Genomic DNA, 24,307 nt, shown 5'->3' on the forward strand with positions numbered 1-24,307 from the left:
TCCTGGCCTCAAGTTGATCTGCCCACTTCGGCCTCCCAAAGTGCTGGGATTACAGGCGTGAGCCACCGTGCCCAGCCCATACCTTTTTAATAATGGTTTAATGCCAAGAAAAAGTAAGTAATACATATCTAAACATTTATACTGCACTGAACTATACAGACAGAGCTGTAAAGGGCACATACAAAATTCAGGATGCCTCTGGGGAGGGGAGGTAGGGAAGGGTAGGGGAGACTCAGGAATTTGGATTTTGTTTGCAGGCAAAGGAGGGGGCACTGTTTCTAAGAAGAGTGATGATACCACCGTATTTTTGAAAAATGATGAAACAGCGTGGGGGAAACTGCTATGTCTTCCATATTCAGGCTTTTTCTTCTCCAAGCCCATTTCCTCCCTAGCAATGATAAGAGGAAACACTCCCGGTGAGTCAGATGCTCTCTAAATATTTTTGCTCATTGAATGTTGACACCAGCCCTGTGTTTAGTATCATACTGGGAACACGCATGAGGAGCTGAAGCACAGACAGGTTAAGTGGCTCGCCCAGGGTCATACAGCTACTCAGTGCTGGAGCCGAGATCACACCAGGCTCTGCTTCCCCACCAGAACCATGAGAGGTTGGGAGTGACCCTACTGGACAGGGATATCTGAGGTGGGAGGGGCTGTGTGTGTGTTCATGCTGAGGCCGGCATGCTTAGAACATCAACCTCAATTTTCCTCCCCACAGGGTCTGGCGGGGAGGCAGGGAGCAAGGTCGTTAAGGGTGGGCAGGGTGAGGGGGAGATTCCCTGACAGCCTGGGTTCTGCCCCTCACTTGCTACAGCCCCATGCAAGCCTCTTGGCCTCTCTGAGGCTCTGTATTCTCACCTGTCAAATGGGGGTTGTCCTGGGTGTTACTTCAAAGGCTGATGAGAAAGGAGTGAGTGGGCTGGCTCGCAGCCTGGCGTGACAAGCAATGCATAAATGTATGCCGTATGAGTCACCTGTCCACAGTGGCCCCAGCAGCTCTCTCTAGCAGGGCTTGGCCAAGACTAGGCCCTCAGAGTGTAAGAAAACTCCTGGTTTGGTGCCTAGCACACTATAGATGTGGCAAACTGTGTCCAAGAACGTTTTGATGGGAGCCTGCCTGGATGACAGAAGATCAGAGTGTGCTGGAATGTCCCACCCTTTCCAGCTTCCCGCAGCCAAGCCAGGCTCTGGGGTGATCATTCCCATAGCAACCACCAGGGGTCAGGGCTGGCCACTTCTGCCTTCTTCCCTCATCCTAGCGCCTGTGGGTGGCGATGACATCCCTGCCATCTATGAGGTGGAGCATTTCCAACAAGAGCAGGTCTGAGGCCCTGGCTTGACTTTCCCAGTCCTGTTAAAGAAGAACATTGGTAAGTGTGTCCATCCATCTGTTGGGCTGTCTGTTGTTCTAACATTCACCCATCCATTTATACTTTTGTCCATTCATCCATTTATCTGTTCATTCTTTTGTCTGCCCATCCATCCATTATCGCTTTATCTTCTATTTCCTCATCTATCCACTCATCTGTTCCTTCATCCAGCCATTCATCTGACTATCCATCTGTCCATTGTCCTCCACCCGTCATCCATCCGTCCAGCCTCCATCCATTCATCCGTCCATCTATCCATTCTAATGTCTGCGTGTCCATCTGTCCATCTATCCATCCATCCCTCCATCCATCCATCCTTCCTTCCTCCTTCATCCACTCATCTGTCCATTCTAATGTCTGTGGGCTCTTCTCTTCATCCATCCATTCATCCATCCATCCATCCATCCATCCATCCATCCATCCAATGTTCAAACACCTGTCCATCTACTCTCTGTCTATCCAACATGCAGTGAGACCTTCTGTTGAGCCAGGACTTGCTCAGCTCCAGGGTACCCTATGAAGGAAGGAGACCCAGTTCCCGTTTCTGCCACTTCACTCCCCCACCTTTGGCTCACCATTTGCTGGGGAGTGGAGAAGTATCAGGCAGTGATAACATAATGAGATGTGTGTGGTCAAGCTCGGAGGTGCAAAAATGTCATATTAATTTTTATGTCACATTAGACTCCAAGGCCTCTCATCCCCTGCATGGGTAGGAAATTCAACTCGTCCTTTATGGAGAAGGCCATTGGGTTAAACAAAAATCTGGGTGGCTTAGGTTGCTTGCTCCTGGAAGGAAAACGGGGGAAGGGCCTGGGGTTAGACTCCGTGGTCTCAACGTGGTTCTCTACACCCTCCAGGCTTGGTCCAGGGAAAGCTTTGCTAAGGCTGAGAAGCCTGCTTCTCAGAAGCACGCCAGACCTGCTTTCAGGCTGTGCCTGGCACAGTGGGAGCCTCTGGTCTCAGACAGGCCCTGCATTTGTTCCCTTACCCAGGAACCCAGGCTGCAAGAACACAGACCTCTCTGGAGTGCCTGGAGCCTGTGGGCTTGGCTGCTTCCGCTAGCAGATGTTAGAGTGGGGAGAGAGGTGTCACCCAGCCTGGCCCGGGTGGTGCAGGGCAGGAGGGTTTCCTGTGGGAGGTGACTTCTACACCAAGACCACAGTGTTGAACAGGGTTAGGCAGGAGAAAAGGGAGGGGAAGTGGCACAGGCTTGGGGTTGGGTGTGGTGGGGGTAGAGAGAGAATGCAGGAGAGTGGGCTTGGTGAGCAGAGTGGCGGTGGGAGGAGCTGGAGAGAAACCAGAAAAATAAGGAAGAGCCAATTATGGTGCTCGGGAAGTAGGGAGATACTGAAGCTCTTTGACCAGGGGAGTTCCTGATCCAAGTGGTGTTTCAAGAAGATCACTCTGGCAGGGGGTGGAGGCAGGTTGGAGTGGCATCCAGGGAGGAGTAGCTGTCCTAGATTGTGCTTGGGCATCAGCAGCAGGTGATGATGAGCCACCACACCTGGGTCATGCTGCCAGCAGGAATAAAGGGAGGGGCGAGGCTCTGGGAGGTGCTGGGAGGTAGAACCCACACTGCAGGTCAGGTGAGGGTGAGGGTGAGGTTGGAGCATCATCAAGGCTGATGTCTTGGACTCTTGGGTAGTTGGGGTGGCCTGTCTGTAACTAAGATGGGGAACCCAACGGAGGGAAGAGAATTGGTGATGTGTGTGGCTCGGTTTGATTGATAGATTGGTGGATTTTCAGAGACAGGATCTACTCTGTTGCCTAGGCTGGAATGCAGTGGCACAATCAAAGCTCACTGCAGCCTCAAACTCCTTGGCTCAAGTGATCTTCCCATCTCAACCTCCTGAGTAGCTGCAACTACCGGTGTGCACCACAATGCCCAGCTATTTTTAAATTTTTCTGTAGAGATGGGGGTCTTGCTTCATTGCCTAGGGTGGTCTTGAACTCCTGGCTTCAAGTGACCCTCCTGCTGCAGCCTCCAAAAGCATAAGGATTATATGTGTGAACCACCATGCCTGGCCTAGTTATTTATTTTTAAGCATTAAAAAATGGTAAACATTTAAGCATTAAAAAATGGAGAATACACAGGATATGCCCATAGTTTAACAAAAATGATAAAGCAAATCCCTGTGTAACTACAACCCTGGTAAAGAAAGAGAACATTGCCACCACCCCAGAAACCCCCACCGCCAATCCTCCATCACAACCTCACTGTGCTGGAGAGGGAAACGTTATCCCGACACTTAGAGGAATCTCTCTCTCACTTTTATTTATGGTTTTACCACCTGTACAGTTTTAAACAATACAGTTTTAGCTCTTTAGTTTTAGTTTTAAAACAATACAGTTTTAGTTTTGCTTATTTTGGAAGATTACATGAATGAAACCCACCTTCTTTTACTCAATGTTATGTTTGTAAGATTCATCTGCATTGCTGTATGTAGAAGTAGTTTGTTCCTTTTCAATGCTGTATACTATTCCAATATGTGAACATACTATGATTTATTAATCCATTAATTTCCTGGTGGATGTTGGGATGTTTGCAGGTTAAGGCTGTTACCAACAATGCTACTATAAGCATTCTTATAGGTGAGTAGCGGTACAAATATGCATGTACTTCTGCAGGCTATGTATCTGGAAGTGGACTGTCTGAACCACAGGTCATGAGCATCTTCAATGTTACTAGATAATGCCTGCTTTCTAAAGTGGTTGAACAAATTTACAACCCCTCCTAGCCATCCTCCACCCCCTCCTAAGTGTTCCACAGAGCCACACTCCGTATGGCTAATTTGGGGAAATCTCATGGGTGGGTCGTGATGGCTCATTGTTATTTTAAGTTGTATTTCCATGGCATGTATTTATCGGCCAGTTGGATTTCCTCTTTTGAAGTGCCTATTCAAATGCTTTTCCAGCTTCTTATTGGGTCATTTGGCTCTATAGCAGACACATCTGGGGCCAGCATCACTCTGATTTCAGCCTCCATGTCATGGAGCCTCCCACTGCCAGAAAGCCAGTCTTTCCACATTCTACCCAGGGACTCATCCAACCATGTGGGAAAGCCTGGAATGGTGGAGAAATGCCCCAGCCTCCTGACCTTCATGGAAACAACCCTGGAACTCTCAGGGGTCTTGGAGGTCCCAAAGGAACCCAGTCTTCAGTACCTACAGCAGTGACCTTGACAATGCCCGTGAACTGGGTTTCTACCTCCCTCCCCCACCAACTCTGCTGCTGGCATGACCTTCTAGATATACTGCCTGTACCCAAGTCCTTGTCTCAGGCTCACTCTTCATTTCTTCCTTGTCGATTTGTAGGAGCTATTTATGTATTCTGAATAGTATTCCTTTGTCAGTTATATTATTGTCAATATATTCTCCCATTCTATGAGTTTTCTTTTTCACTTTTTTTTCCCTGCCGTCTTTTGACAAACAGACATTCTTTAGTTTAATATATTCTAATTGATTAAACTCTTACTTCTGGTTAGTGTTTTTTTGTGTTTTTTTTTTTTTTTTCAGAAATCCTTCCCTGCTCCAAAGTTTATGTTATGGCTTGGAAGTTTAATAGCTTTTCACCCTTAGGTCTTTAATTGATTTTGGTAACTGGTATGTGCTAGGGTCAAATTTCATTTTTTTTCCCGTAGGGATACCCAACTGTTCTAGCACCATTTATTGAAAAGTCAACTCTTCCTTCAATATTCAGAAATGTCACCTCTGTCATAAACCAGGCAGCCACATGTGTATTAGACTGCTGGTGAGTGCCCTATCTTGTATATTTCTGCATGTCTTAAATTAGTTCTCAATTAAGTTTTAGAATTTTATCTGGGTTTTGCACATTTCTAGTTAGATTTATTTCTCAGTACTTGATATATTTTGAAGTATTATAAATGATGGTCATATTAGTTATCATGGCCATGTAACAAATCACTCCAACACTCAGTGGCTAAAACAACAAAATTTATCTCCCCATTTTTGTGGGCCAGGAATCCAGGGGTAGCCTAGCTAAGTGGCAATGGCTCAAGGTCTCTTATGAGGTTTCAGTCAAGTTGGAGGACAGGGCTGAGGTCTCATCTGAGGGCCTGACTGTGGAGGTGATCCACAGGGCTGCCTCATGACATGGCAGCTAGCTTCACCCAGAGCAAGTGATCTGAGAGAGAGAGATAGTATCAGAGAGAGAGAGAGAGAGAGAGATAGTATTCAAGATGGAAGCCACACTCTTTATAACCTAATATCAGAAGAGACATCCCATTATTTCTGCCATATTCTATTCATTAGAAGTGAGGCACTAAATCCAGCCCATACAAGAAGATGAGATTACCCAAAGGTGTGAATACCAGGAGGTAGGGTTCACTGGGAGACTTCCTTAGAGGCTGCCTATTGCAGTGATTTTTTAAAAATCTTCATTTCCTGATTCTTATGGCTACTATATAATTTTACATAATTGTTATTTTTTTTTGAGATGCAGTCTCACTCTGTTGCCCAGGCTGGAGTGCAGTGGTGCCATCTTGACTTACTGCAACCTCTGCCTCCCAGGTTCAAGTGATTCTTGTGCCTCAGCCTCCTGAGTAGTTGGGATTACAGGCACATGCCACCATGCTCAGCTAATTTTTGTATTTTTAGTAGAGATGCTGTTTCACCATGCTGGCCAGGCTGGTCTTGAACTCCTGGCTTCAAGTGATCCACCTGCCTCAGCCTCCCAAAGTGCTGAGACTGCAGATATGAGCCACTATGTCTGGCCTCACAATGAAGTTTTAATATTGATTTTTGTATTCAGCAACCTCGCTAAACTCTCTCATTGAATATAATAGTTTATCTGTGGATCGCTTTGCATTTTTCATATACTCGTCATATCATCCGTGAATGATAAAGTTCATTTTTATCTTTCCAATCCTTGTATGTTTTATTTTATTTATTTTCCTTGGTACACAGGCCAGGTCTTACAGAACAAGAGTTTAACAGCTGTGGTAATAGTGAGCTTCCTTATCTTGTTGCCAATCTCCAAGGAAAAGTTTTTAACAGTTTCACCTGAAAGTATACTATCTGTTGTAGTGTTTCATATACCTGTATATTAGATCAGATATTATCAGATTTAGGGAGTTCCCTTCTGTTTCCAGTTTGCTAAGGGTTTTTGTTTGTTTTAAAATCATGAATGAATGTTGAATTTTGTCAAACATCTCTTTGCATATATTGCGATCATTATTAGAATTTTCTACTTTGATCTTTTAATGTCATGAATTACATTACTTTTTTTGGTAATGTAAAATATGTATTGCATTTGTTAAACCTAACATTATCCTTTTATATGTTACTGGATTTAGTTTACTAATTTTTTAAAAGAATTTTTGCATCTATGTTCTTGAGAAAGAGTAGCCTGTAATTTTTCTTTCTCATACTGTCTAGTTGGGTTTTGGTGTCAAGAGTATGCCAGCCTCATAAAACAAGTTTGAGTCTTCATAAGAGTTTGGGGCCAACTTGGAATTATTATTTATTCCTAGAATGTTTGGTATAACTTGCCAGTGGAACTGCCTGGCCTTAAGTTTTCACTGTGGGAAGATTTTTGAGTATAAATACAAATTCTATGTCTAGGACTGCTCAGAATTTCTATTTCTACTTATGTCAATTTAGGTAAGCAATGCTTTTCTAAGGCTTTTTATAAAATTTAAATTTATTGGCATAAAGTTGTTCACAATATTATCTTTTTATATAATTATGGTCATAATAATGTTCTCCTTTTTCTATCTGACATAGGTTATTTGTGCTTTTCTTTTCTAGTGTCTTCGTTATTTCTCCAGAGGTTTGCCAATTTTACTAATCTCTTCAAAGATCCAATTTTGATTTTTGTTCATTTTCTTAATTGTATGCTTACTATTTTATTAGCTTGTGCTTTGGTCTTCCGTATACTTTTTTTGGGGGGGGGTTGAATTTACTATTCTTTTTCTAAGCTCTTTGAAATGGATGATTAGCTCATTAATTTTAAGTCTTTACTCTTTTCTATTATATGCTATATATTTTCCTGTAAGTATTAACTTTAGAAAAATTTCCTACCAGCTTTGATATATATGATATTTTCATTATTATTCACTTCAAAATGTTTTTAGTTTTTAATTGTAACTTCTCTGTGATATAAAGAAGTATGACTTTAAATTTTCCACATTATGGGGATTTCCTAGTTTTTTTTTTATTGATTTTAGCTTAATTATATTGTGGTCAGATCAACATTACATGAATTAGAAATTTATCAAGATTTGTTTTAGGCTCAGAATATGAGCCAAATTTGTAAATGTTCTGCTTGAAACATGTATCTTACAACAATTGTGTGCAGTATTCTACATATGCTCATTAAGTCTAGTTTATTAACAGAGTTCTTCAAATCTTTTATACCCTTTTGTCTCGTTTTTAAAATTAAACTGAAAACGGTGTCTTAAAATCTTCTATTATGGCTGTTGATTCTTCCATAGTCCTATTAAGTTTTGCTTATATATTTTGAGATTATGTTGTAGGCACAAATTTAATATTGTTATGTCTTCCTAGGAACTTTTGCTATCTTTTCCTCTGGTTTTTGCCTTAAAGTTTATTTTGTCTTTCATGAATATAAATACTTACATCTGCCTTTGTGTGTGTGTGTGTGTGTGTGTGTGTGTTTGTTAGATTCAGGGAGTACATGTACTTGTTTGCTACATGGGTATTACACGTGTAATGGTGCAATTGGGCCTCTGGTATACCCATCATTCAAATATTGGACACTGTACCCCATAGGTGATTTTTCAACTTTCTCTTCACTAGTATTTTTACCTTATTACTTTAAACTTTATTCTTATGCTTTAAATGTATCTCTTCTTTTGTAAACACCATAATTCCCCTCCCCCCATTCCAAATCAAGTCTGAAATTCTTTGCCTTTTAACAGGAGCATTTAGTTCATTTACATTTAATGTATATGTAAATGTAAATACAGTGTATACTTTGTAAATGTTTAGAATTAAATCTATTACTTTAGCTTATCTGCTTATTCATTCTATTCTTTTTCTCTTCTGTCTGGACTTAAAAAATGATCTGCATATATTTTATCATTTAATTTTGTCCCTTAGCTTGTTTGAAATGACATACTGTTTCTATTCCTTTAGTGCAGGGATTAGAGACCTTTTCTCTGTAAAGGGCCAGATAATATATATTTTATGGTTTGTGGACCACAGTCAGTGGGTTTTTTTAGGGTCTGTGGGCCGAAGTCAGATTTTTTATAGCCATTTAAAAATCTAGAAACCATCCTTAGCTTGCAGGCTATATAAAAACAGGCTGAAATCTGTATTTAGCCCATGGGCCATAGTGTGTAACCTCTTCTAGTGTTCACTCTAGAAATTATAACATGCACACTTAACTTATCAAAGCCTACAATTAATGAAAACCTTTACCCCTCTGGACAACACATTGATATTAGAACATTTTGAGTCTATTGCCTTCCTAACCCCAATTCCTATGTTATGTTGTCTGGTATTTACATTTTATTCCAAACTCTACTAGATATGATCATTACTCTTTTTTTTTTTTTTTTTGAGACAGAGTCTTGCCCTGTTGCCCAGGCTGGAGTGCAATGGCACGATCTCGGCTCATTGCAACCTCCAAGGTTCCAAGGTTCAAATGATTCTCCTGCCTCAGCCCCCCGACTAGCTGGGATTACAGGTGCGTGCCACCACGCCCAGGTAATTTTTTGTGTCTTTAGTAGAGATGAAGTTTCACCATGTTGGCCAGGCTGGTCTCAATCTCTTGACCTCGTAATTTGCCCACTTTGGCCTCCCAAACTGCTGGGATTACAGGCGTGAGCCACCATGCCCAGCCAATCGTTACTGTTTTATACAGTCAATGTTTGTGTACATTTGTCTGCATATTTACCGCTTTCTCTGCTCCCTATTCTTTTTGTGACCTCTACCTTCTACCTGGATCGGGTCCCTTCCACCTCAAGTACATGTGTTAGAATTTTCTTTAGTGAAGGTTTGCTGGTGGTGAACTTTCTAAGTTTTTATTTGCCAGAAAGTGTCTCTATTTTGCCTTCATTATTGAAAGCAGGACTCCCAGGATTCTAGTCCCAGCTCTGCCGTCACAGCTGCTGTGTGACTATAGCCTAGTCCTGTCTTTTTGGAACTCAGGTTCCCCACAGGTGAACCAAGAAGAAGGGCTAATCATCTCTCCTCCTGCCACCAGCTCATGTGACCAAGTCCCAGTGTTGTGTCTGTACTGGGAAGTTTGGTATCAGAGTTGCTGAGGTTACTCAAGGACCCTGAAGAGCTGGGTGATATAGAGTGAACTGATGAGATGAAGCTGCCTCCCCGGAAGCCACAGTCTTCAGGATCTGCAGCCTCTAAAGTTACCACACCTATAACACTTATGTAGGTTTACCCAATATCTGGCTTGGGCCAGCAGTTTCTCACAGGTATGGATGAACAACTCCAGGTGAGAACTTGCTGCTCCCCTTGGGCTGGACAAACTCAAGAAGGCAGGCTTCCCTTTCTGGGCCACCAGGCCCACCTGAGACCTGCCTTCCCTGAGCACAGGCAGGACACCTGGGTTCCAGCCTCTAACTCTGTACCTCAAGCCAGTCCCTGCCCCTCTCTGGGCTCCAGTCCTCCCCACCCCTTCAATGAAATGGGGTAAGGCACAGTTGAGATAAGTCTCAAGGGCTCCTCCTGCCCTGCCCATCAGGCAAAGGTGTGATGGTCCCTCCTAGTGTGTGGCCGTGATCTCCGTGTGCTCCCGCGGGGGAAAGGGCAGTGCTGAGTGTGGGCACTGGGGCAAGGGCCTGACCACCGAGCACTCCTCACCTGTGCCTGCAGGTGGCAGCAGCAGTCACCTGGCAGAGCCTGCGGGATTGCAGCAGCTAATTTGCGCATGGCCTGGGAAAGGGTCAGCTCAGTCATGCAAAGAGTAATTCCCAGCCCACCGGTGCCCGCTTCCTGCCTCTGCCAGGCCCTTGCAGGCCCCTTGCCTCCATCCTCAGAGGAAGCCAGAACTGGGAGAGGCCTTGGCCAAGGCGTTCCGGAGTAGGTGCTACAGGCCCTCTGTGGCCAGAGCCTCTGCTCACCCAAATCCTGCCCTGCTTCCAGGCCAACCCCCGAATCCATTCTCATTTAGTTAGGGCTGCCAGCCTACAGGCAGTTAACTGCTCCCATTGGCAAAAACTTTAACGAGCAATTAATTAATAAAACTCATGACTGCCAGCCCCACTTCTTTCAGTGGGGACTGATTTTATTAACTACTCAGTCATTGGGGCAAAGGCTGATATCCACGTGTTTGTATCCTTCAGGATCCTAGGGCAAATGAAGGGTGACTGATTATCATTTCTGGGCAATGTGCTTTACAAACCACACTTCTTTCGGTCCTTACAGTGAGGTACTGCTATTATATCCATTATACAGATGAGAAAACTGAGGCCCAGAAAGCTTACTCTCTTCCCCAGTGTCACCTAAGTAGAAGTGAATCCCAGTCTGTCTGACTCCAAAGGTATTTTCCCCTTGAGTGGCCCCTCAAAAACTGCTCTGTTTCCTTTTATGGCTGGAAGGTCCCAGAACCTATGAGCTAAGGGGCTGTTTTCTGACCTTCTCATGGCCTTGCAGGAAGGGACTGTGTGGACTCAGGTTTGTTCCCAAAGCAACTCCTTTGCTTTAGTGATGAAGGGAGCCCTCACCCCTCAGCTCTGTTGAGACAGCCCTTCTGCCCCTCTCCCTCCCCTCTAACCACCAGCCTCCAACCTGAATGAAGTTCCAGATTCTTCCTCTGCTTTTCCCTTACCTCTTTCATGTCTGTGGGTGCCCCCTGAGGCAGTATTCATGTGATTTCAGATGGCACAGGAGATTCATTTTTCATTTTACATCATCACTAGTCCTTTGTTAATTATGGCGTGTGCCCTTCATCATTTAATGGGATATTATATTTTATTTTAAAAGTGATCATTTTGAATTACATGTAAAAAGGCCAGTTGATCTAGAAGAAAATATTAAGTAAATATCTGGCCGATTTCTAGACTTGTTAAAAACCACTGGAACAGAACTTGCCTACCTGAAGCTGGGGAGACCTGGTTTGGATTACCCCATTTCTTCTTAACCAAACCAGCCCAGGGGGGAGTTTGTCGGCCTCAAGAGAGAAGTCCTGTCCCTTAGGGGAAGTTGGCCTTCCTCCTCAGCCAACAAGCTCATGCTGCAGCTGGGTTATTTATTTCTCTGAAAATGTTATCAATGTGCTACACACGTGTGGTTTCAGGTAATCGTGGTTGCCTGGGGTGGAAGTGGAGGGGAGGTTGACTGCAAAGAGCCCCAAAGGAACTTTCTTGAAAGATGGACGTGTTCTATATTTTGGTTGGTGTGTTTGGTCCGAGAGTGTACATGTTTGCCAAGTCATCAGTCATCACCCTGTACACTTAAAATGTGGAAATTTTATTGTAGATAAGCAAAGTTGATTTGAAAACAACATCAAAACCAAAGCCACAAATATTCACTGATGTTGGGAGCCACTCATATTCATTTCTCGTTCTGACTTCTGAGCTGCGAGGTGAGCTCTGTGGTCAGCTGCACTGTGGCGTATGCTCGCTGTCATTCAGCTGACATTTCAGCTGCTCCCAAAGTCAACATTTATGAGTTCTGCCATGTGCCAACCACAAGAAGAGTGCATAAAATGACAGAGAGATGCCTTTGACAAAGGGACATCACAAGTCAGGCAGGAAGGGGTGACTTAATCGGTAAATGGTGTTGGGACAATTGGTTCTCCATTCAGATGCAAACAAAACTAGATTCTAATAGGGCAACTATAGTTAATAGGATTTATACTTTATTTCACAATAGCTGGAATAGGAGATTTGGAAGGTTCCCAATGCAAAGAAATAATAAATGCTTGAGGTGATGGTTATCCTAATTATCCTCATTTAATCATTACACATTGTGTGCATGGATCAAAATATCACAGGTACCTCATAAGTATGTATGACTATTATGTATCAATTTTTAAAAAGACTCACCCCACAAAAAATTAGACCCCTACCTCACATCATGTTCATGCACACAAAAATTCCAGATGAATTAAATGTTAAACAAATACTCTAAAAGTATTAAAAAGAAAATATAGGAGAGTATTTTAAAAATAAATTCCAATCAGAAAAAGCCTTTTAAAGCAAGACATGAAAGCCAGAAATCATAAAGGAAGACTACATCTAACTATATAAAAATGCAAAACTTTTCTATGACCAATGACACCAAGAATTTAGCTAAAAGCATGCAGAAGATCCTGGGAAAATATTTGGCTCATATGTATTAAAGAATTAAGGTTTCTAATATGCAAAGAGGTCCTATGAATCAGTAAGAAAGTGGCAAAAAGCCCAATTAAAAATGTGTAAAGCAGGTGCCCTGCGTTGCCCAGACTAGCGACAATATAGTCAGGATGGCTAAAGATGACCCCCAAGAAACCAAAAGGTGAGATGTCTGCTTATGCCTTCTTTATGCAGACATGCAGAGAAGAATGCAAGAAGAAAAACCCAGAGGTTCTTGTCAATTTCACAGAAATTTCCAAGAAGTGCTCTGAGAGGCGGAAGACAATGTGTGGAAAAGAGAAGTCTAAGCCTGACGAAATGACCGAGGTGGATGAAGTACTCTATGATTGGGAAATAAAGAATTACGGACCAGCTAAGGGAGGCAAGAAGAAGGACCCTAAAGCCCCCAAAAGGCTACCATCTGGATTCTTCCTGTTCTGTTCAGAATTCTGCCCCGAGGACAAATCCACAAACCCTGGCATCTCTATTGGAGATGTGGCAAAAAGGCTGAGTGAGATATGGAATAACTTGAGTGACAGTGCAAAGCTGCCTGACATCACTACGGCAGCAAGCTGAAGAAGTGTGAGAAGGGTGTTGCTGACTCGAAGTCTGAAGGAAAGTTCGATGGTGCAAAAGTTAAAGTTGCCTGGAAAAAGGTAGACAAGGAAGAGGAGGAGGAGGAGGAGGAATTAAAAAACCTGTTTATCCATCTCCTTGTCAATATCTTAGAGCAGAGGAGTGTCATAATTCAGGGGTCCCCAACCCCCGGTCCATGGACCAGTACTCGTCTGTGGTCCATTAGGAGCCAGGCGTCACAGGAGGAGGTGAGCGGCAGGCGAGCAAGTATTACCACCTGAGCCTCCTGTCGGATCAGCGGTGGCATTAGATTCTGAACCCTGTTGTAAACTGCACATGAGAGGGATCTAGGCTGAGTGCTCTTTAGGAGAATCTAAATAATGCCTGATGATCTGAAGTGGAACCGTTTCATCCCAAAACTATCCCCCCCTTGCCCCCACCCTTGACCCCCGTCCGTGGAAAATTTTCTTCCATGAAACCGGTCCCTGGTGCCAAAAAGGTTGGGGACCGCGTTGTAATTGACTCATCTCTCATTTGAGAAATATCTGTTGCCCTCATTAGTTTTAATTACAAAATTTGATCACGATCATATTGCAGTCTCTCAGAGTGCTCTAGAAATTGTCAGTGGTTTACATAAAGTGGCCGTGGGTGTCCAGAGCACCCTGAAACTGTATCAAAGTTGTACATAATTCCAAACCTTTGTTTGTTTGTTTTTTGAGACACAGTCTCGCTCTGTCGCCCAAGCTGGTGTGCAGTGGTATGATCTCAGCTCACTGCGGCCTCCACCTCCTGGGCTCAGGCGAGTCTCCCACTTCAGCCTCCCCAGTAGCTGGGATTACAGGTGCATGCCACCATACATGGCTAATTTTTTTATTTTTTGTAGAGATGGCATTTCACCATGTCACCTAGGTTGGTCTTGAACTCCTGGGCTCAAGCCATTCGCCATTCGCTGGCCTTGGCCTCCCCAAGTGCTGGGATTACAGGCATGAGCCACCATGCCCAGCCTCCGAACATTTTAAAATGAAAACGCCCTCTCATATTCTCACTCTGTGCACTTTGCTGTTGGTGTGACAGGGCATTTAAAGATGTTTCTGGGCCGGGTGTGGTGGCTCACGCCTGTAATCCCAGCACTTTGGGAGGCCGAGGTGGGCGGATCACCTGAGGTCAGGAGTTCGAGACCAGCCTGGCCAACATGGCGAAACCCTGTCTCTACTAAAAATACAAAGATTAGCCGGGAATGGTGGCGCATGCCTATAATCCCAGCTACTTGAGACGCTGAGGCAGGAGAATCGCTTGAGCCCAGGAGGCGGAGCTTGCAGTGAGCCGAGATCACGCCACTGCACTCCGGACTGGGGAACAGAGTGAGACTCCGTCTCAAAACAAAACAAAACAAAACAAAACAAACAAAGAAACCATGTTTCTGGCATTTTTATAATTTGTAAGATGGTGTTAACTATATGGTTATTGGCTAGAAATCCTGAGTTATCAACTGTATATGTCCATAGTTTGTAAAAAGAATAAAACAACTGAGGCAAGCTCTTGATGCTTCTTGTCTGGCATTGAGGCTGTGGGGAAGGTGCCTTTTGGAGGGGCCATAGCTGAGGGCATGCACCGTGACGCTGGACCGGTTCACTGTGCAGTGGGCATTCATTTAGCTTCAAGTTGTCTTGTTTCTGTATGTGGTGACAGCTTTCTGCTGCCATTCTTAGCTAAAGGCAAAGATGGGGGGGTCAGCTGGCATGAGAAGTGTTTAGTTTTTGTTTTGTTTTTTAGTTAAGTGTGGTGGTTTTTAAACTGTAGAACTCTTCATTGTCACTAAAGCAAAGAGTCACTGCAATGAAAATTCAGGAACCTTCTGTCCTTAAACACGATTTGCAACATTCTGTTATTTTTTTTGTATGTTTAGAATGCTGAAATGTTTTTGAAGTTAAATAAACAGTATTACTTTTTTTTAAGTTGGATAAAGGATATAAACATTTGTTTCACAGGAGAAGAAAGAAAAATGGATGATGAAGTTATGAAAAGATGCTCGGTTCCACTCAGAATTACAATAGGCACACTAAAACAATTTTTTGCCCATCTAGAGAGATCACCTCCACATTGGAATGGATATGGTGGGACTCTAAATTGGTACTACTTTTTAAGGGGGCAATTTAGCAGTGTCTATACCTTTTTTTTTTTTTTTTTGACAGGGTCTTGCTCTGTCACCCAGGCTGAAATGCAGTGGTGCCATCATGCTCACTGCAGCCTTGACCTCCCCGGCTCAAGTATCTGTACAATTTTTAATTGCACAATTCTATAACCTAGTAATCCCTCTTTTAGGTATCTTTCCTTTAGAAATAGCCACACATGTGCCAAAATATATATGTTAATTACTGCAAAGTGTATTACACTAAAAAATAGGACCCCTTAATTTCCTTCAATAGAGGGTTATGGCTAAATAATTTTACATTCTATGCAATGGAATTCTTGTACTAATGAAAAAGAATGAGATGGAACTATACATTCTAAGCAGAAATGATATCCATTATAACTTGGCAAGAGAAAGAAAAGCGAGTTGCAAACACTGTGTATAGCATACTAATTCTATTTTTGTAAAACAATTGCATATATGAGTTACAGGGATATATAATAATCATGTCTCACAATTACTGAATGTTTACTGTGTAAACCAGGAGCATTGAATTATTATTACTCCCATTCTACATATGAGAAAACAGGAACAGAGTGGTTAAGTAATTTGCCCAAGGCGGCACAGCTGGTAAGTTACAGAGCAAGGATTTGAACTCTGGCAGCCCAACTCCACAGTCTGAGCACTTAACCCTATACATGGCCTTATAGGCCAAAAATACTTCTGTTAACAGGGATGACCTGGAAAATCAAGAGTGGAGGGGCAGAGTCACTTTTTAATAAATACTTCTAAATAGACATTAAAAAACACGAACTGGTAAAAAGGACTTATAGTGAAAAGCCCATTTCCTGCAAGCCCCCTCCCCAGAGGCAACCACTTCTAATAGTTCGAGCTCATGTGGCAGTTACCTCCAGAGCCATAAATAACATGCTTCTACTGCCATTTCCTGATTTATTAACCTTGGACATTATCTGTTGACTTCTGCAAACACTCAGAAAAGGAAAAATCAGCTTACCTTTTTTCTCCTTTCTTCTTGTTATGTTGCTTCTTGATAACAGGGCTGTTTGCTGCCACTGGCTCTGGTCTAGACCCTGGGCTGGACACTCGACTGCACAGTTGCCAAGACTAGGCCCACTGAGGTTCAAGACAAAAAAAGGACTTGCCCAAAGTCACTGTGAGTTGGTGTTGGAGGTGGCACCCGGCTCCTGGTCTGCATGGCTCCAGGGCCGGGCTGTCTCTGTGATACCCTTTGGCCCACCCTGAGAGTGACTCTTGTGCCACCCCTGGCCCACGCGGGCCTCTCTCACTCTGGCAGAGGCTTAGCATGGCTGGGGTGGGTGGCCCTGGCTGGGTTCCTGCTGAGGGCTGGCTGAGGCCTCCTGCTCAGGCAGGGGCAGGCATATTTGCAGAGCAGCAGGTGCAGCCTCCCAGTGTTTGGCCAGCCAAGGGTTTTATTCTCCAACACTGCCAGACCTAGACTTTGACCCTCAGGGACTTCTACACAGCTGGCCTTCCAGATCACTGCCCCCATAGCCTCTATATCTCCAGGGGAAAGGCTGAGCCAGTGGCTGAGACTGGCAAAGTGCCGAGCACCAGATACCCAGGACCCTTAGGGCGAAACCACCAGACTCACATGCCCCAACCCTGCAGTCGCCTGGGGCCATCGGGCGGGTGTGGGGGTGGGGGTGTATAGGGGTAGAAGGAGCTTTAAAAAATTACCAGTGCTGGCCAGGCATGGTGGCTCATGCCTGTTATCCCAGCACTTTGGGAGGAATAGGCGGGCGGATCACTTCAGGTCAGGAGTTTGAGACCAGCATGGTCAACATGGTGAAACCCTGTCTCTACTGAAAATACAAAAATTAGCCAGGCGTGGTGGCGCATGCCTGTAATCCCAGCTACTCGGGAAGCTGAGGCAGGAGAATCACTGGAACTTGGGAAGCGGAGGTTGCAGTGAGCTGAGATGGCACCATTGCGCTCCAGCCTGGGTGACAGAGCGAGACTCCATCTCAAAAAAAAAAAAGGATGTCCTGAAGGCCTCTTCAGCCCAGAGAGACATGGGCTTGCGGGCTGGGGGCAGACAACAAAGAAACACGGGGTTGGGGTGCAAGCCTGGGACTTGTAGGGGCCCCTAGCAGTGAAGAAAGGCTTTGCCTAGCACACGGTGGCCCCTGAGAGGATGCGGGTGGCACCGTCCCCACCCTTGTAGTCCCTTTTCCCAGACATGAGCTCCTGGCAGCTTTATTTGGGGTAGAAGAAGGGTCCTATTTATGCTGTGTCTGCATTTAGAGAGGCTGTTCACTCATTAAGTTACAGACTCTCCACCTTTCTGAACCTTGGTCTCCCCATCTGTAAAATAGGTATATGGTCAGGAATGGGGGTGGGAATTGAGGATTGTGGGAGCCTTCTGGCTTTAAAATTATGAGCCCTGAGGAAGATCCCTGAAAGAGCCTGTGCTAGGTAGGTTATGACTTTGGCTGCTGTAACAAACTCAAGAGTAAGAACCCATATAAACAAGAAGCCGTTTACTTCCATCCCATGCGAGGGACCAGGCTGCACGGTGGCTGTGGTGGCTCCTGGACTTTGGGCACTCATACCCCTTCCCTTTTTGCTCCTCCAAAAGGGTGCACCTCTTTTTTTTTTTTTAAGAGCATGATGCAAGATTTGCAGACTTTACTGATGGCTGCATCCTATTGTTCAGAACTTGGTCATGTGGCCACCCAGTTCCAAGGAATGTTAGGTAATAATGTCTTTATTGTAGGGGGCCATGAACCCAGCGAAAATATGGGGTTCTATTGGTATAGAAAGGGGAGGTGGATATTGAGGAACACTTACAGCTTCTGACATGGAATCTAGAGGTTGCTTGCTGGAGGCCCCGAGGGTGAGATCTAGCCTTAGATAGGCTTTGTTTGGCTTATGACAGGCTTTAAATCCATTTGAATTCATCCCCAACTTATAACAATTAAGATTTTCACATTAATTTCAAATTTCTGGCTTCCTTGAAAAAACTGAAGGATCAGGCCACATGGGGCTCATATTTCCTCAAGTGACAGTTCACTGGAGCTGGGCAGTGCTCCCCAGCGTGGCCCATACTCTCCAGTTCACCCCAGGTCCCCCCACTCCCTATTGTCTCCCACCCTGCCCCCTTCCTGCTCTCATTAGCTTTGCAGCCTGGCCGCTGTGGGCACTGTAGTTTGTGACTCTTGGCCCAGCATAGCCACCAGCTTCTATAAACAAGGAAATTGAGGCACAGAGAAAAAAAGAGACTTGCCCAAGGTCACCCGGTGAGCCTGGACAGAGCTGGGACTGCAGCTGCCGCCTGCACACTCAGCCTCAGCGTATTTTCTGCCGCACTGGTCACTTGAGGATCACCTGGGTGCCCATGTACTCAGGAGAAAGGATGGCCCAATGGTTAAGCCATTAGGTGCTGGAATCTGATGGGTCTGGGTTTGAATTTTGGCTCTGTCACTTTTCAGGGCAAGTAACATCAGCTCTCTGAGCCTTATTCTTTTTCTTTTTTTCTTCCTTTCTTTTTTTTTTTTTTTTCCTTTTTTGGACAACGAAATGGGATAATAATAGAGATTGCCTAATAGAATCACATGAAGATTAAAGTGAGGTGCAGGGCCATTGGCACTGACGGTGGGCACCTCCTTAAATGTTACACCCTAAGTATTTTGCTCATTCCAGCCTGCACAAGAAATCCTAATTCCTGGGACAGGAATTCAGAGACAAGTGGAAAAGCAGAGGGCTTTATCCCCATGCAACTGGGGGATGTGGCTGACCCTTCTGTGCGATGCAGCTCGGTTTCCTCCCTGTGGGGCCACAGCAGCCCCAAATTGCTGAGATCAGTCTGCATGGCAAATAGAATCTGTGTCAAGCTGCAGAGGTGGACCTGAGCCATTCTGTGTCGGGCTGTGCCGGAAACAAAAACACCTTCTCTGTCTTAGGAGCTGCGCCCACCTGCCCTCTCTTTCTTCAGCAGCCAGAGCTGCCTGCTCGGGTGTTAGTTCTGGCATGACTTGGCGTAACCTCAGGGAGGCACCACTGCGTCTCCTGTCAGCTCTTCTAAAGCTATGCCTCCGAGTATGGCGTGCTTTGGGGCCAGCTGTGACAGCTGGGGAGCAGCCCTATGCACCCCCACTACAGTCCAACATTTGGTTTCAGATTCTATTTATATACATTATGTACCTAGATACTTGTGGGTTTGATTTGGTTTTGTTTTGATTGCACAAATAACATTAGAACAGCTATAATGGAAACAATTCTAAAATGGAAAAAAAAAAAGGCACGCACAATGCTATCAGTTGGCTCGGCTTCCTAAAAGCACTGCTTAAGTGCTGGCAATAAGCCCCGCACTGTGCTGTCTATGGTTGATCTCACTAAAGCTGCACAACCACCCAGTGAGGAAGAAACCTGTCACAGATGGAGAAACTGAGGCACCAAGGGGCAGGTCGCCTCCTCAAGGTCACACAGTGAGGACTGGAATCCACCTCCAGGGTCCTGTGCTTGCCACCTCCTCAGGGCTGCCTCTTCTTGCCTGTCATCCCTGCCACCTCTCAGCTTGACCTGGAAGCATCAATTTGACATCACTGTTCACTCTGTGCAGAGCTTTTCCAAGTGGCCCCTGGGTAGCAGCCCTGTCTTTGAGTGGGGAAACAGGTCCCTGAGACAGGTGGAGACATTGCCTTTGTTTTCTGCTTATTTCACTGAATTTTGTATTACAGTCATCCCCCAATACCTGTGGGGGACCAAATTGTAGGATGCTCATGTCCCTCAGTCATGCCCCCAACGACTTGTGCAGAGGGCCAACTGTATAAGCGTTTTCCTTTTGTTGTGACCATATGACCATGAGCTGGGGGGTGACCAGCTCTCTCAGTTTACTGGAACTGAGAGGTTTCCCAGGAGGCAGAGCTTTCAGTGCTAAGCAGAGACAGTCCCCGGCAAAATGAGATGGTTGGTGACCCCAGAGGACAAACCTGGGTTGTGCTTTCTGAGCCATCTCCTGGTGCTGAGCACTTGGACCGCTTCAGCTCTCCACGGGTCAGGCTGGACAGCCCTGTGACCACAGCTTGTCACTGGAGTGTCTTTTCTTCAGGGCCCCTCTTGAGTAGGAGGAGACCAGGCTTTGAAGGTTCCTGAGAGGAGATGTACGGGACCTGAATACAGCTTTCCTGACCTGCCCCTCATAGGAGCCTGCAGGGAGGTGAGATGGGGACCCAGGACAGGGCTGAGGGCAGGCAAGGGCCAGGGGTGTGTTGGAGCTTGCTGTTTTGGCTTGCAAGAACTGGTGGTTAAATTTTTAGGCATTTTGTGAGTTGGTTGTTAAACATAGCCACTGTTAAGAATTAAATTACATACACAAAATTAAATTACAGTCATGTGTTGCATAATGACGTTTTGGGCAATGACAGACCACATAGATGACGGTGGTCCCATAAGATTATATGGGTCATATAAAGAAAGCTACAGATAGCACTTCATATTGGCCTTGCAGATCAACTAGGGGGAAATGACTGATATTCAGTAACGGTGCTGGGACATTTGGTTTTCCATGTAAGAATATATAAATTTTAAAATGCATCCTCTAGGTTTGGATAAATGCACTCTATGATGTTTGCACAATGGCAAAATCACCTAATGACGCATTTCTCAGAATGTGTCCTTGTTCAGTGACTCATGACTGTGTATTTAAAAAGATAATAAATACTCAGAATGAAACACTTTCTGATTATTTTACCACCATCATTCGTTGTAATGGATTGAATCCTGTTCCTCTTTGCCCCAAATTCTTAAGTTAAAGTTCTAACCCTGAGTACTTCAGAATGTGAGCTTATTTGGAGATAAAGTCTTTACAGAAGTAAGCAAGTTAATTGGCGTTTATTAGCGTGGGCCTTAATCCGATATGACAGGTGTGCTTACAAAATGGGGGAATCAGACAGAGACACACACACACAGGGAGGGCACCATGTGAAGATGAAGGCAGAGATCGGAGTGAAATTTCTACAAGCCAAGCAGTGCCAAAGATGGCCAGCCAACCACCAGAAACCAGGGGGAGAGGTGTGGGACAGATTCTCTTTCATAGTCTTCAAAGGCACCAACCCTGCCAACACCTTGATCTTGGACTTCTAACGTCTAGAACTGTGAGAGAATACATTTCTGATCAAGCCACCCTGTTTGTGGTACTTTGCTGTGATAGCCATAGCAAATGAATCCATCTGTGCTCTTGAAGTTGCCATCTGTTGCACTGGTAGAGTAAAAAGAATGGTGAGCTTCTGTGCACCTTTTCCAAATGCCGTGTTCGATGTTTGCTATCTTGCAATTGGCCGTGGCAGAAGTATTTATTTATTAAAACTTTTTTTTTTTGGTAGAGATTGGGGTGGGTCTCAGGAGGTTGCCCAGGCTGGTCTTGAACTCCTGGCCTCAAGCGATCCTCCCACCTTGGCCTCCCAAAGTGTTGAGATTACAGACACTGCACCTAGTCAGAGAGTATTAAAACCACGGAAATCTACAAATGTTACAAATCAGGACTTGCTTTGTTGTTTTGTTGATTGTCTAGATAGAGTTGAGAAAGCAGTGAAATGTTATTAAGGCATATTCCATGCAATCAATGTGTCATGTCTGTAGCTGTTACATCACGAACAGCACAAACAATTTGAAAACCATGATCCGATTCAGCCAACTATTCAAAATCTGTATTCAAAATCAGACTCAGCAAAGATTCCAGTATCTGAAGACCATAATCCCACTCGGCAAAAAATTGCTCACGTCATTGATGGACAAATGAAATTCCGACACGTATCTTTGTTGTTTCCTTTTTTTTCTTGTTAATGTAAATGAAAATATCAATATAGGTATCCAAACAACACTTAGAGAGCCTGTTGTCAATATTTAGCAGCCCACCACTAATGTGGGGCGGAGGAGGCCAGCTCTGGCCCGCCCAGGACTGAGGGGCCCAAGGCTGCAGGGCCTGCACGGGTGGGTGGACCGACTGCCTGCGTTTCAGCTGCTCTGGGTGGACCAGTTCCAGTGTCTCCTCCCTGGGAGTGGGGTGGGGGGCTGCCTTCCTACCCTCTACCCTGGGAGGCTTCTGCAGGGTTTCTGCTTGGTTCCTAGTGATCTCCGGCTATCAGGACCCTGTGGTGTTAGCAGCTGAATTTGTTTTTCTTTTCTTTCTTTTCTTTTTTTTTTTTTTTTTTTTTGAGAAGGAGTCTCTCTCTGTCACCCAGGCTGGAGCGCAGTGGCGCAATCTCGGCTCACTGCAACCTCCACCTCCCGGGTTCAAGCAATTCTCCTGCTTCAGCCTCCCGAGTAGCTGGGATTACAGGCGCCCACCACCACGACTGGCTAATTATTTTTTGTATTTTTAGTAGAGACAGGGTTTCACCGTGTTGGCCAGGCTGGTCTCCAACTCCTGACGTCAAGTGATCCGCCTGCCTTTGCCTCCCAAAGTGCTGGGATTTAGGCATGAGCCACTGCACCCAGCCAGCAGTTCAATTTCTTGATGGGGAAGTAAGAGAAGAAATAAAAAATCAATGATGTAATTAATCAAGTAATTCAATAAATATGAAGGCAAATACATGTAATGAAAGGGCAATGAAAAAAGCAAACTAAAAAAACAAAAGAGTGGAGATAATTATGCCTGGTCTGGCATGCAGGAGAGGCTGCTAGGCCTAGCATTGATCGATAGCCTTTATCTTGTCAGAGCAGGGCTGAGTCCTTCAGCTACCCTCCTTGAAATATAAATCGATCCCCTCACTCCCTTTTGAATCCACCCATGGCTTCCTGCTTCCCTCGGACTAAAATTATACTTCCGTTCCTGTCTTCACAGCCCGGCTCTTTGCCCTCATCTCCTTTGCCTCTGTGCTCCAGTCACAATTACCAGATCCTAGTTTCTCCAACATGCTGAGGATATTCCTCACTCCGAGCCTTTGCACATGCTGTTCCTTCTGTCTGGTATGCTGAGCCCCAGGCCCACTCTTTCCACGGCTGGCTCCTCCTTATCCATTAGGACCTTGTTACAAACATCACCTCCTCCAAGGAGCCTTCCCTAATTACCTGGCTAAAGTGCATTCCCTATTTCATTTCATCTTCACTCTTTTGTTGTTTAGGTTGCTTTTTAAATTGCCCTCCCATTACATGTATTTGTCTTTGTATTTATTGAATTATTTGATTAATTACTTCATTGATTGTTTAATTTCTTACCTTACTTCCTCATCAAGCCATCAGCTCCATGAAGGCAGGGATGGTTTCTGGGCTCTGTCAGGTATGCAGAGCCCAGCTTGAGGCCTGGCACTTGGTGGGTACTTAGGAAATGTTCGTTGAATGAATGAATAAAATACATTCACTGAGAAACTGTATGACCTAGAGATAAATCATGGACCTATGGTCCAACAGAGATATGGATTCAAGTCCTGCCACTGGCACTTATTGCTGGTGTGCTCTGGGACAGGTTCCTAAATCTCTTTAGGCCTCAGTCTCCCTGTCTATAATCCCCTATGTAATTCCCTTCAAATGATTGTTATGGGGATTAAATAAATCAATCCATGCAGTTTTAGGAATGGGCTTGGCACAGAGAGGTGCTTGGGAGTGTTGGATGCCAGTATTCTTATAAGTAAAGGGATGTGGGACTTTGGGGTTCAGGGGTTCAGGGGTTCAGAGCCTGACTTTCCATAAAAGAGGACGGGATAACTCCAAGAGGAGTTCTTGGAAGAAGGGGCATTTGAACTGGGCCATAAAGGGGGGTGGATGGCGTTTCTCTAGGCAGAGATGGCAGTAGGGAAATCAGGAGCCAGGAGGGACATCTGGTCCCAGAAAGAGATCTGCGGGCAGGCCAGGCCTGCTCCTGGCTGGTCCCAGAAAGAGACCTGCGGGCAGGCCAGACCTGCTCCAGGGCTGGGAGGAAAGCCACTGGGTGCCAGGGATACGCTCAGTATGAGCTGCCTTGTTCTAGGC

The 24,307-nt window shown here is 45.0% G+C and overlaps 2 long non-coding RNA genes and 1 pseudogene across 3 annotated transcripts in view, besides 4 other annotated features; 2 read left to right on the plus strand and 1 right to left on the minus strand.

Annotated features, from left to right (window-relative positions):
• LOC105371291 (uncharacterized) overlaps positions 1 to 16,668 on the minus strand; it is a 41,734-nt gene extending 25,066 nt beyond the window's left edge. For both annotated transcript variants that reach the window (XR_933627.4, XR_933626.4), the window contains exon 1: positions 16,374 to 16,668. This is a non-coding gene — a long non-coding RNA (uncharacterized LOC105371291). The remainder of the gene's footprint in view (positions 1 to 16,373) is intronic.
• Positions 2,558 to 2,637: an enhancer, noted in NCBI's record as "active region_10902". NCBI's record gives its function as "activates an Ori minimal core promoter by ATAC-STARR-seq in GM12878 lymphoblastoid cells {active_cell/tissue: GM12878}" and the evidence as "EXISTENCE:reporter gene assay evidence [ECO:0000049][PMID:35858748]".
• On the plus strand, positions 5,001 to 7,793 carry LOC107984889 (uncharacterized). The gene is made up of 2 exons (XR_001752212.2): positions 5,001 to 5,120; positions 7,139 to 7,793. It is a non-coding gene; the product is annotated as an uncharacterized LOC107984889 (long non-coding RNA).
• Positions 9,902 to 9,981: an enhancer, noted in NCBI's record as "active region_10903". NCBI's record gives its function as "activates an Ori minimal core promoter by ATAC-STARR-seq in GM12878 lymphoblastoid cells {active_cell/tissue: GM12878}" and the evidence as "EXISTENCE:reporter gene assay evidence [ECO:0000049][PMID:35858748]".
• On the plus strand, positions 12,744 to 15,184 carry HMGB3P32 (high mobility group box 3 pseudogene 32; annotated as a pseudogene).
• Positions 19,493 to 19,592: an enhancer, noted in NCBI's record as "active region_10904". NCBI's record gives its function as "activates an Ori minimal core promoter by ATAC-STARR-seq in GM12878 lymphoblastoid cells {active_cell/tissue: GM12878}" and the evidence as "EXISTENCE:reporter gene assay evidence [ECO:0000049][PMID:35858748]".
• Positions 24,237 to 24,286: an enhancer, noted in NCBI's record as "active region_10905". NCBI's record gives its function as "activates an Ori minimal core promoter by ATAC-STARR-seq in GM12878 lymphoblastoid cells {active_cell/tissue: GM12878}" and the evidence as "EXISTENCE:reporter gene assay evidence [ECO:0000049][PMID:35858748]".

The sequence above is a fragment of the Homo sapiens genome, chromosome 16, assembly GCF_000001405.40.
Source record: "Homo sapiens chromosome 16, GRCh38.p14 Primary Assembly".
Taxonomy (NCBI): domain Eukaryota; kingdom Metazoa; phylum Chordata; class Mammalia; order Primates; family Hominidae; genus Homo; species Homo sapiens.